The sequence below is a fragment of the Homo sapiens genome, chromosome 3, assembly GCF_000001405.40.
Source record: "Homo sapiens chromosome 3, GRCh38.p14 Primary Assembly".
Lineage (NCBI taxonomy): Eukaryota > Metazoa > Chordata > Mammalia > Primates > Hominidae > Homo > Homo sapiens.
Window position 1 is genome coordinate 51,870,896 of NC_000003.12, and position 13,291 is coordinate 51,884,186.

General features: G+C 44.9%; 1 protein-coding gene, 1 long non-coding RNA gene and 1 pseudogene across 2 annotated transcripts; 2 read left to right on the plus strand and 1 right to left on the minus strand.

Moving 5' to 3' along the window:
* RN7SL504P (RNA, 7SL, cytoplasmic 504, pseudogene) lies at nucleotides 1,283-1,569 on the plus strand (annotated as a pseudogene).
* On the plus strand, nucleotides 2,701-4,872 carry IQCF5-AS1 (IQCF5 antisense RNA 1). Its single transcript, NR_109984.1, has 3 exons — nucleotides 2,701-2,857; nucleotides 2,941-3,403; nucleotides 3,493-4,872. It is a non-coding gene; the product is annotated as an IQCF5 antisense RNA 1 (long non-coding RNA).
* IQCF5 (IQ motif containing F5) lies at nucleotides 2,826-4,706 on the minus strand. Its single transcript, NM_001145059.2, has 2 exons — nucleotides 4,633-4,706; nucleotides 2,826-3,280 (listed from the first exon to the last, which is right to left on the minus strand). The coding sequence occupies exons 1-2, from the start codon at nucleotides 4,634-4,636 to the stop codon at nucleotides 2,838-2,840; spliced, it is 447 nt and encodes a 148-aa protein (NP_001138531.1). The 5' UTR covers nucleotides 4,637-4,706; the 3' UTR covers nucleotides 2,826-2,837.
* Nucleotides 4,873-13,291: the final 8,419 nt, after the last annotated feature.

The window sequence follows — 13,291 nt, forward strand, 5'->3', positions numbered from 1 at the left end:
ACACCCGGCTAATTTTTGTGTTTTTAGTAGAGATGGGGTTTCACCATGTTGGCCAGGCTGATCTCGAACTCCTGACCTCAAGTGATCCTCCTGCCTTGGCCTCCCAAAGTGCTGAGATTACAGGCATGAGCCACCACACCTGTCCTAAAATTTATATGGAATCTAAAGAGACCCCAAATAGCCAAAATAATACTGAAAAAGAAGAGCAAATTTGGAGATCTCACACTTCCAAATTTCAAAGCTTATTACAAAGCTACAGTGATGAGCGTGGTACTGGCATATTAGACAGATCTTTAAGCCAGTAGAATAGAAGAGAGAGACCAGAAATAAACCTTCATGGATATAGTCAAATAATTTTCAACAAGGGTGCCAAGTCCATTCAATAAGGAAAAACAGTGCCTTCAACAAATGGTGACAGGAAAACTGGATATCCACAGGCAAAAAAAATGAAAAGGCACCATTACCTTACACCATATACAAAAATGAACTCAAAACATATCAAAGACCTAAATGTAAGATATGAAGCTATAAAACTCTTAGAAGAAAACATAGAGGAAAACCTTCATAACACTGAATTTGGCAATGACTTCTTGGATATGATACCAAAAGAACAGGAAACAAAGAAAAAAATAGGTAAATTCAATTACACCAAAATTTAAAACTTCTGGCCAGGCGCGGTGGCTCACGTCTGTAATCCCAGCACTTTGGGAAGCTGAGGCAAGCAGATCACTTGAGGCCAGAAGTTCGAGACCAACATGGTGAAACCCCATCTCTACTAAAAATACAAAAATTAGCCGGGTAGGGTGGCATGCCTGTAATCACAGGTACTTGGGAGGCTGAGGCAGAAGAATTGCTTGAACCCGGGAGGTGGAGGTTGCAGTGAGCCGAGATCATGCCACTACACTCCAGCCAGGTGACAGAGAGTGACTCTGTCTTAAAAAGAAAAAAGAAATTTAAAACTTCTTTGCATCAAAAGACAAAAACAACAGAGTGAAAAGCAATCCATAGAACGGGACAAAAATCTTTATAAATCATATATCTGATAAAGTATTAAAATCCTACAACACACTAACAGGACCAAAAAAACCCAATTCAAAAATGGGCAAAGAATTTGAATAGACATTTTTCCAAAGAAAATATTAAACTGCCAACAAGAACATGAAAAGATGTTTTTCACCGCTAATCATTAGGGAAATACACATCAAAAATAATGAGATGTCACTTCATACCCATTGGAAGGACTGTTATGAGAAAAGCAGAGATAACAAGTATTGATGAGGAGGTGGAGAAATTGGAACACTTGTGCACTGCTGGTAGCAATGTAAAATGTTACAGCTGCTATGGAAAACAGTATGGTAGTGCACTATGCTAATGTGTTGTCCACACTAAGTTTCGCATCAATATGGTGACCTCCTAGGAGCAGGGCACCACCAGGTTTCCCTAGCAGGAGTGAACCATCCCAGACTGAAAATGGAGCAGGTCAAAATTCCTGTGCTGATCAGTAGTGGGATTGCGCCTGTGAATAGCAACTGCACTCCAGCCTGAGCAACATAGTGAGAACTTGTCTCTTAAAATAACAAAAACAAAACAAAAAAATTAAAAATAGAATTACCATATGATCCAGCAATTCCACTTCTGGGTATATACCCAAAAGAATTGAAAGTAGGATCTCGAAGAGATATTTGCACATCCATGTTCATAGCAGCGTTATTCAAATCGCCAAAAGGTGAAAGGATCCTAGTGTCCATCCACAGATGAATGAATAAAATGTAGCATATACATACAATGGAATTTTATTCAGCCTGAGGAAGGAAAATGTGACACATGCTACAATATGGATGACTCTTGAAGACATTATGCTAAGTGGAATAAGCCAGTCACAAAATGAGAAGTACTGTATGATTTCACTCATAGGAGGTACTTCGAGTAGTCAAATTCATAGAGACAGAAAGTAGAATGGTGGTTGTCAGGGGCTAGGGGAGGGAGGACTAGGGAGTAATTGTTTAATGGGTACAATGTTTCAGTTTTGCAAGATGAAAGAAGTTCTGGAGATGGATGGTGGTGATGGTTGCACAACAATGCGAATGTACTTAATGCCACTGAACTATACACCTAAAATGGTTAAAATAGTAAATTTTATGTTATGTATATTTTAACACCATGTTTAAAATAAATCGTTAAAATGTATTTTAAAAGGTTGGGCACAGTGGCTCACACCTGTAATCCCAGCAACGTCAGAGACCACGATAGGAGGACTGCTTGAAGCCAGGAGTTTGAGACCAGCCTGGGCAACATAGTTAGACCCCCATCTCTACAAGAAATTTTTTAAAAATTAACCAGGTGTGGTGGTGGGCATCTGTGGTCCCAGCTACTCAGGAGACTAAGGCAGCAGGAAAGAGTTGGAAGCTGCAGGAAACTGTGATTGAACCACTATACTCCAGCCTGAGCAACAGAGCAAGACCCAGTCTCTATAAATGAATGAATGAATGAATGAATGAATGAATGAATGAATGAATGAATAGCAAAGGATGACACAGTCTTCCATGCTGCACAACCACAGGGTGTTCCATTTACATAGTCTCCCTAGAGTTGGTTGACTTAGTGACCCTGAAACCCCAACTCTTCTACCTATGGCAGACATTGCTAATCAATCACAGGTCCTACTCATCTCAGACGGCTCTCAGAATCCTTCTCCACATGGAAACCAAGACAACCCCTGCTGATTCCTCACAGCTGACTTGTGACATGCCTAGTATTTCCCATCATTATCTCAAACAATGACCTCCTGAAAATACATCTGATGAAGAGAGCTGGGGACACAGATATAGCAGACCTGGTCATTCTTTTAATGGAAGGGGTATGCATTGTTGCACCTTACAAGCCTGTAAGCCCAAAGAGATTTCAAGTTGAATATTAAGTTGGTTTTCTTTGAGTTCATAGTGGCCCTCAATAAAGACACGGGAATGGCAGCTGTGCCAGCGCCAATAGACCTGGATGATGCGGACAGCGTTGAGCAAACGACAGTAACGCTGGCGGACACACCACATGCGGACCCAGGACTGCAGCCTGACTGCTGCCCATTCCTGCTGCACATAGAACTCCAACACCATCCTCCGCCTCTTTGCCAGCAGCTTCTCCAGCACCTGCCTCCACCAGCACTGAATGATCCAAGCCCTGAGGGCTGCATGCAGCAGTGTGCGTCGCACCAGCATGCCCCGCCACCAGGCCTGGATGAAAACAGCTGCAGACCTTTCTGTCATGATGGTCTTCTCTTCTGGGCCTTACAAGAGAAAACAGACACACTCAGGGTATGCTAGGAAGGGGCCCTGATCCTCTATCAATGATGGCTCCTTCCTCTAAAGTTCAGCACTGGGCAGGGCAACAGCTGAACCCAGGAGACCAGGTAGGTGTCCCCCCTCTGCCACCCACAGGTTAGTGGATGTGCTCACCTCACTTGACCTCTGAGTTTCAATGTCCCCATCTGCAAAATAGGTGTACATCTGCCCTAGCTACCTCATTCCATTTTCCATGGACCTTGCTGGCCAGTCTAGAGCAAGAACACTGTGACTTAGAGGTAAAAGAGCTGCCATCTACCTGGGATCCATGACTCTTCCCTTCAGAGCCCTCCCATCCGCTGAAGAAGTGGTGTCCTTTGCTCCTCCTGCCCTCTTTACTCTGACTTCAAGTCAAACCCACAAGCTGCTGTGTTCCTTCCTCCTCACCAAAGTGGTAACAGATTCCTCCACCTCACACACATTGTGAACAGCTTGAACTTCAGCTATGCATGCATCTGTACAAACATGCACACTCCACACACTAACACACATTTTGCCCCTTGGTCCTGCATTCCCCACAGTCCCCACTTGCAGCCCCCAGCCCTATATGGTCCGGGATCACACTCCTCTGCCCCACTCCTGGCCACAGTCTCCACTCCGTATCTCAGCCAGACTCACATCTCTCCGCCTGACAAGAAAATGGGGGCAAGAGACAGCCAGTCCCCATTCATTCCAGCTCTGCATACCCTGACGTTTCACCCCAGTTTTTCTGGAACACCCTGATTGATGTCAGGTAATGAGGACAGGTGCCTGTTTCCCTCACTGAAGCCACTCTTTGTACAATAAATTACAGGGTCATAGATCTTTGAGTCACTCTGCTGGACCACAGGGGTCAGAGATGTCACTAGTTAAGGCTCTCTGGACCCAGCCACTCACGGAGTTGTGGGTAAGGGTGTGGCCTGGTAGGGGTGAGGGTGTTGGGGGTGGAGTCGCTTCCCTCTTCTCCCCTTTGTTCCTTCCAGCTCTGTTCTATCGATGTGATTTCATCATTATGTTTAATGATCATTTAAAACAGCTTGCCATCCTTCTGGAATCAGAGTGTATGGGGGGAAATAGGGAAGAAAGTGAAAGGTGCTCTCCCACTGCTAGGTGCCAAGTCAAACACCATTCTCACTGTTTCTAGACAGCTTCCTGGCTTTCTCTAGGACTTCAAACATGGAGGGGGGTCCTGTCATGAGTAACTGTGGGGAACTTACTCTCCCCTCAGAAAGCTAGTGTGGTTCTGACTGCCTCTTACAAAACATCTGACTGGGGACAGGTCGTAAAATTCGCACAGGTCTGGACTTTACTAAATTACCCATGGTTAGGGGCTAGATGGTCCCATCACCCTCCGGCCCGCACTCCTCCGATCAGGACTCCAACAGGAAGAGTGGAGGAAGGGCGGGACCTGTGATGTCATAAGGGCACCTGTGATGCAGGCACCAGGACAGCTTCCAGCATATGAGCCTCTTCTAAGGAAAACCTAGAAGACCCCAAGTACTGACCCATTGACACAAAGGTATATAATGCTGCTCATTAAAATCTGGCTGGTATTCATTAAATGCCTTTCAGTTCCTTTACACCCTGGTATTCCAAATAACTATTAGAATGGGTTTGCTCTCTATGTACAGATATAGAAAAGTACAAGATTTCATAAGTGAATCAAATCAAGATGAAAGGCAAGGTGATCCCAATATAAACACACATTTATACACATGTGCTGTAAAGGCATTATCTTAAAAAGGGGGGATAGAAGGATGTACACAAAAACTAACAATATCTCTGATGAGGACGGTGGAATTGGAGGGACACGAAAAACTCCTTCACTGTTGCTAAGCCCCCTATGTCTGACCTATCTGCAGGTCAGTCTGTTTTTAGGCACCTGAGAGGACAGGACACACACAGGCCAGAAAACTCCTTGAGGCCCCCAGGACTAGCCTGGGCTCCATCCAAAGCTCAAATGGGTTAAAGTGCTCTCCTGTCTTCCTCTGTCCCTGAGCACCTCAAGGCCACGATCAGATAGATGAGGGTGGCCTCTGCAGAAGCAGGGCCCCTTTCTGCCTGATTGCAACCTCTTAAGACCCAGCTGGACGTGGTGAGGCACAGCCCCCGTGGTCACTGAGGAATGCACTGGGAATGTGTAGGGTGAGTATGGGAGAGGCCGATGTGGATCTGTAGGGGGAATGTAGGGAAGAGGAGGAGGTGCTTTGAGGATGGCGGGGGTGTCAGTTTGAAGTTAATGGAATGAGGGAGTGGGGAAGACAGCAATGAGGTGGGGGATGGGGAAATAGTGGGGTACAATGTGTAGGACAGAGAGGGAGCAGGAAGCACCTATTTGAAGATAAAGATCTTGGCCAGGCCCCCGGGAGACCTCTGTCAATTTAGTGCCTCCATCAGTCTGGCTCCTGAGTCAAGCCACTAGTCACCACATTCCTGTCCGTGGTAATAGCAATGCAGTGATATTAGTCCCACTTCGCAATGGAGGTGCAGAGATCATGCCTGGCTCACGTCACCCTGTTTCATAGCTGGTCAGCTGTGGAGCTAGCATTTGGTCCCAGCTCTGCTCCACCCTGAGCCTTGGCTCTAAACCACCACATCATGCAGACCCCAGCATCTCCATGTTTTCCCAAAGCTTCCGGTTCTCATCGTTTCTAGAAAAATCCCGCTAAAAAACCTCCATCCTGAATCTTAAAAAATTAGCCAAGCAAAAGAAGCCAGACTCTGAAGAAGGCACACTGTGAATCCATGTGTGTGCACTGCAGTGGGGACAGCTGTCGTCAATGGGGACACAGCAGTGGTTGCCCAGACTTTGAGATGGAGACTGAATGGGAACTATGTGGGTAATGGAATGTTCTAGATTTTTTCTTTCTTTCTTTCTTTTTCTTTTCTTTTCTTTTTTTTTTTTTTTTTTTTCGTGAGGCAGGGTCTAGCTGTGTCACCTAGGCTAGAGTGCAGTAGCACGATCATGGCTCACTGCAGCTGCAACCTCCTGGGCTCAAGCAATCCTCCAACCTCAGCCTCCAGAATAGCCACCACACCCAGCTAATTTTTGTATTTTTTGTAAAGACAAGGTTTCACCGTGTTGCCCAGGCTGGTCTCAAACTCCTAAGTTCAAGCAATCTGTCTCAGCCTTCCAAAGTGCTGGGATTACAGACATGAGCCACCACACCCAGCCTGCAATGTTCTGTATTTTGGTTGCCAAGATGGTCACACAGGTGTATAAACTTGTCCCCAAAAAAATCAATGAAATGTACATCTAAAATGGATATATATGTATGTAAATTATGCCTCAATAAAAGCTGATTTAAATACCTCTACCCATCTCATTTATAACACAGAGATCATCATACTAGGATCCAAGTGTGTTTGGGTGTTATGAGAAGGATAAAGGTCCCTGCACTCCAAGGGCACAGGAAAGATCCCATTACTAGAGCCCAGAGGAACAAGGGGGCTGGAGTCCAGAAAGGAGGGAGATCCAGACAGGAAAGAGGCCCAGGGGCTGGGGCATTGGTGGATGAGGTGACCCTAGAAGCAGGGTGGGTGCTGGGCCTTGAGTGCTACTAGAACCAGCTCAGCCTCTAGCCAGTGGGTAGGGAGGAGGCACCCCAGGGGCTGAGGAGCAGAGGAAGATGCCTTCCAAGGGGAGGTTGGAAAGTGTGCTGGGTGAGGGGCCTGGTGTGAGCATGGTGGAGTGAGCCTCCTGGAGCTGGGGTAAGGCATGCAGCACAGGGAGCAAGACACAGGCCCCTCAGGGCCACTGTGGGTGAGCGCTGAGCACAGAAGTACCAGCATCCTAGGGTACCATTCTCCCATCCCACCCCCACCATTCTCCACCTCCTCTACCAGAGTTTCCTCCAGAGGTTCTCAGTAGGCCCCTTGCAGGACGGCTGGAAAAAGGAGAAGAAAGCAGGACTCAGTGAGGGTTCCAGTGGGACCAGCCCTCTGCATGTGCTCCCAGCCCCATGGCCTGCAGAGGAGGAAACGCAGGTCTCCTGGGAATGGGCTGTTCTAAGGCAACCCTCAGCCCCTGCCTCAGGCATTTCTTCTGCAGCAGCCCCAGCCCCATCCCCAGATAAGTGACCCTCACATGCAGCCCCTGGCACAGCAGCCTCCCAGGAGGACCCAGGAGTTTACTTGGTGGGTCCTGCACCTTGGGAAGCCCCGTGGCCCCCTTTAAAGATCTCCACCTGATCTATATCCACCTGTGGTCCTCACCTGATCTTACACAGTCATCTGTTTGCTGACTGGCCCCTTTTCTCACTGGTTCCTAGAGGGCAGAGGCTGAGCATTCCTCATGTTTGCGACCCCAGAGGCTGCACAATACCAGGACATAGTAGGTGAAAAATAATTGTTCACCGAATGTATAATGAGTGGATGAATTAATGGACTATCTACTCATAGCCCACCTCTCTGAGGAGACCTGGAGCCCCCAGGGTCTGCATTCCTGGAGACAAATTCTGTCATTCCCTCCTCTGTCTCCTCTACCCTGGTAAGGGTGGGCATGGGCATGGAATGGACATGGGCTGGTGCTGAAAGTCCCAGATCAGAGGTGAGGAGGCTGGGCACTTTGGGACTGGAGGAGAAGGATGACACGGGGAAGGCAGGGGAGGGAGAAATAAAGAAACCTGGAGGGGTCGGGCACAGTGGTGCTCCCTGTAATCCCACCACTTCGGGTGGCAAAAAAGGGAGGATCACTTGAGGCCAGGAGATCAAGGCTGCAGATCGTGCCACTGCACTCCAGCCTGGGCAACACAGTAAGACCCTATGGAAGGAAGGGAGGAAGGAAAGAAAAGAAGGAAGGGAGGGAAGAAGAAACCTAAAGAGGGAAGAGAGAGGGGAAGCGTGGGGACTTGGAGTCTGAGGGAGAAAGGGGGAGCAGGGAGGAAGAAGGTGAAACAGAATGTGATTTATTTTTCTTTCTTTCTTTTTCTTTCTTTGTTTCTTTCTTTGTTTGTTTGTTTCTTTGTTTCTTTGCTTCTTTCTTTCTTTCCTCTTTTTTTATTTTTATTTTGTGACAGGGTCTCGCTCTGTCACACAGGGTAGGCTACAGTAATGTGATCTCAGCTCACTGCAATTTCCGCTTCCTGGGTTCAAGTGATTCTCATGCCTCAGCCTCTCAAGTAGCTGCGATTAAAGGTGTCCACCACCACGCCCAGCTAATTTTTGTATGTTTAGTAGAGACGGGGTTTCACCATGTTGGCCAGGCTGGTCTTGAACTCCTGACCTCAAGTGACCCGCTCACCTTGGCCTCCCAAAGTGCTGGGATTAGAGGTGTGAGCCACCGTACCCAGCCTTATAGTATTTTCTTATAGCAGCCTGGACAAACTAAGACAGGGGACTAGAACAACAGAAGTTTAATTGGCTCACAGTTCTGGAGGTTAGAAACCCAAAATCAATGTGTCAGCAAGGCCATGCTCCTGAAACCTGTAGGAAAAGGACCTTTCCTTTCCTCTTCCTAGCTTTGGGGGATGTGCTGGCATCCCCCATGGTGTTCCATGGCATGTAGACACATCGCTCCAATCCTCTGTCTTCACATGGCATTCTCCCTGTGTCTTCACATATTCTTCCCCCTGTGCACATCTGTGCCTGTGTCCAACTTTCCCCTTAATATGAGGACACTAATCATATCAGATTAGGGCCCACCCAATGACTTCATCTTATTGACTACATCTGCAAAAGCTCTATTTCCAAATAAGGTCACTTTTTGAGGTATTGAGGGTTAGGACTTCAACATATCTTTTAGGAGGGATACACTTCAACCTATAACACCAACCACAAGCCAGTGATTGGCTGCAGGATTCCCCTTAGGAGAGGACATAATCTTGGTCAAATCTCTTCCCTATGGCCAAAAACAATTCCCAATGGATGACAGCAGTGACCGAGCAGCAGCCAATATTCCCAAGAGATGTGGGATGAGTCACCAGCTATGAAGAAAGGATCCACTACATCTGCAAATCCACTGCAGCCCAACCCTTTATGCCACTCATATCTACTTGCTTCCCATAGTAAATGTTCACCATTTAAAAATAACGATTCTGGTTGGTCTTGTCTCCTGGGAAAACTTAAAAGAGAAGAGTTATGTCTTTGCTATTGTGAATAGTGCTGCAATAAACATACATATGCATGTGTCTTTATGATAGAATGATTTATATTCCTTACAACCTAAATGCCCATCATTGGTAGACTGAGAAAATGTGGTACATACATATACACCATGGAATACTATGCAGCCATAAAAAAGAATGAGATTATGTCTTTTGCAGGAACATGGATGGAGCTGGAGTCCATTATCCTTAGCAAACTAACACAAAACTGAAAACCAAATACCACATGTCCTCACTCATAAGTGGGAGCTAAATGGTGAGAACACATGGACACATAGAGGGGAACAACAGATGCTGGGGCCTATTGGAGGGTGGATGGTGGGAGGAGGGAGAAGATCAAGAAAAATAACTTATGGGTAATAGGCTTATTACCTGGGTAACAAAATGTACAAGAAACCCCAATAACACAAGTTTACTTATGTTTAATAAACCCGCATGTGTACTCCTGAAGAAAAAAGAAAAGGGTCAAAAGGACAAGTTACAGGCCCATCATTTACTTTGAGACCATCAGTCACACACCTTTTCCCCTTCATCCACTACCCTTTCTAGATTCCTTTCCTGTTTGACTTGCATCTCTGCTGTCTACACAGGTTGCCAGTAATGGGAAGGGAAGTGGGTGCAGTGGTGATCCAGACCCTCATCCCTGGCTATAATTCTCTGGCTATAATTCTCAGGCTATGATTGCTGTATGGGTTAATCTACCATTACACCTAGGCAGCGAAGCACCAAGAAATTTTCCAGTGAATCATCCAAGCCACATTCATAGTCTTTCCTGCTCACCCCCACCTAGTGTAGCAGCAGTGCATCTTCTCCTAATGATCAGTGTTAATTATTCCTGCCAACAGAGTGACTCCTTTCATTATAGAGTGACTTCTTGTCTCTTGGCATAAGGAGGATAAAGTGACCAGGTCACAGCCATAGCTTTATGTTTAGTGAGACTCTTACTGTGACCCCTGATAAATGTCTTTCCTCCCTAGAATCTAGTACCTCCAGTCAGATGGAGCCTGAAGTTACAGGGACAGAATGCATAAATTCCCAAGTGAATAACTTGAGGCGTAGTCACAGGTCCACTATCATTCCACATATTGGTTCCTGTTAGGGGCTCAGCATTGTGTAATGGACATTGACTTGGGGCATGGTTGGGCATTCTACAACTGGTAGGTCAATACAGCCCACTGCCTGCCTGTTTTTGTACATCCTGCAAAGAATATTTGTACATTTTGCAGTGATTGGAAAAACTCAAAGAATATTATTTCATGACACATGAAAATTATACAAAATTCAAATTTCTGTGTCTATAAAGTTTTATTGGAACACTACCATGCTTATTTGCTTATATATTGTCTATAGCCACATTTGCACTACAATGACAGAGTTAAATATTTGTTGAAGGGGACCATACATGGCACTCTCCTCATTTCCCCTGCTGCTCAGCCCACAAAAATCACAGAGGTGCAGTTATAGCTAAACAGTGTTCTGTGTGCCACATATACTGCTGTACTGTGACCTATTTTTTAATTACCAGTGCATGCCCATCACATCAAAATAAGAAGAAAAGACAAAAGCAGACTTTAAATGTCGCACTTTTAAGACAATGGCAAAGCATTGTGTCCATTATGCAATGACACTATAGCTATGCTAAAAGAACACGATGTTATCCATCAACATTACCAGACTAAGCACTCCACAATATTCTTAACTTGCAAGAAGTTAATAATCATCAAAGTTAAACATTTTAAGTGGCATATCTCATCACAGTAGAATTTCTTTACAAAAACTAAAAAATCAAAATGAGACTGCAAGCAAAATAGGTTACCAAGTTGCTCATTTGTTAGCCAAGCAGGGAAAGGTTATTTTTATTACCAGTAGTGAGTTAATTAAATCATATTTGATTGCAACAGCTGAAGAAATGTGTCCAGAGAAAATAAACATCATTAGCCTTTTTTTTTTTTTTTTTTTTTGAGGCTGACTGTAGCTCTGTTACCCAGGCTGGCGTGCAGTGGTGTGATCTCGGCTCAGTGCAACCTCCACCTCCCAAGTTCAAGCAATTCTCCTGACTCAGCCTCCCGAGTAGCTGGGATTACAGGCATGTGCCACCACACCTGGCTAATTTTGTATTTTTAGTAGAGACGGGGTTTCACCATGTTGGCCAGGCTGGTCTTGAACTCCTGACCTCAGGTGATCCGCCCATCTCAGCCTCCTGAATGCTGGGATTACAGATGTGAGCCACCACACCCAGCCCATTGTTAGTCTCTCAATGAGAATAACTGCTCAAAAAGTCAAAGACATGAGTAACAATATCAATAGCCAATTAAACAACAAGGCAAATGATTTCAAGTGGTTTTTCTTGGCTCTTAATGAGTTGACAGATGTACCAATACGGCTTGGCTGTTGCTTATTGAAGGGTAACTGCCAAGTTTGAAGTGACAGAAATTAACCTCTATGTGTATGAAACAAACATGGATGAGAATATTTGTTGAAGAAATTGAGAAAATGCTAATTCAACACAGCCTGAAATGGAATCTGCCAAGATGTGATAAATCTGATAGTAGTGAAAATATGTGTGAGGCCGAACAAAGGCTTAGTTGAAAAAACAAAGTTTATGAAAATGTAGGTGCTTAAAGCCTATGGTTATTCATTGTATCATTCATCTGTAGGTACTTTGTGGAAAACATTGGAATCAATCCTGTTACTGAACCAGTAGTGTCAATGGTAGACTTCACATGGCATCATTGACTCAACCATCATCAGTTCCATGAACTTTTTTTAGAAATAGAAGCTGAATTTGCTGACTTGCCCAACCACACAGCAGTTCCATAGCTTAGCAATGGTAAGGTTTTACTGAGAACTTTAAAGTTAAAGGTCGAGATTGAAATTTTTCTGAATGAGAAAAACTGCCTTTAACTACTATTATCCAGCACTGAATAGCACTAGAAATAAGTTTTTGCTGCAGTCTTTATGTTCCTTAATGAATTAAACCTGAAGTTAAAGGGAAAAACAAAACTTATACATAATATCTATACTATGGTAAAGTCAAGTTGGCAACAATGTTGAATCACAAGTAATGTTAAGCTGCTCTAAGTACTTCCCGAGCTGTCAAAAGTTAAAACATGAAGTGAGATATCCATTCCCACACAAATTTGCAGGGGGTATCTTTTCTGAACTCAAACTGCAGTTCCAGCAGCACGTGCATTTCAGACTTCTATGCAAGTACAAGGGGAATTTCAACATTTCTAAATATATTTATTTAAGCAATTGAGTAGTGACCACCTGAACTTCAGCTGGAAGTAGTTAATCAACAATGTAATGACATGCGTACAGGCAAATGTCAAAAGAAGAATCTAATAGAACTCTTATAAGTATCTCCCAAGTGAAGAATATTCTCAATCAAAGTCATATGTTCATGGATTCTACATTAGCTCATTTTTCCACTGCTATAAAGAAATACCTGAGACTGGGTAACTTATAAAGAAAAGAGGTCTAATTGGCTCATGATTCTTCAGGCTGTACAGGAAGCATGGCAGCATCTGCTTGGCTTCTGGGGAGACCTCAGGAAACTTAACAATCATGGCAGAAGATGAAAAGGAAGCTGGCACTTCACATGGCTGGAGCAGGAGGAAGGGTCGCAGGGAGGAGGCGGGGGAGGTGCTACACTTTCAAACAACCAGATCTCATGGGAACTCACTATCACAGGAACAGCACCAAGGGGATGGTGTTAAACCCTCCATGAAGGACCACCCCCATGCTCCAATCACTTCCCACCAGGCCCCACCTCCAACATTGAGAATTACAGTTCAACATGAGATTTGGTGGGGATACAGATCCAAACCATATCAGATTCATATTAGTATTTGGCAGTACCAAATATTTTAC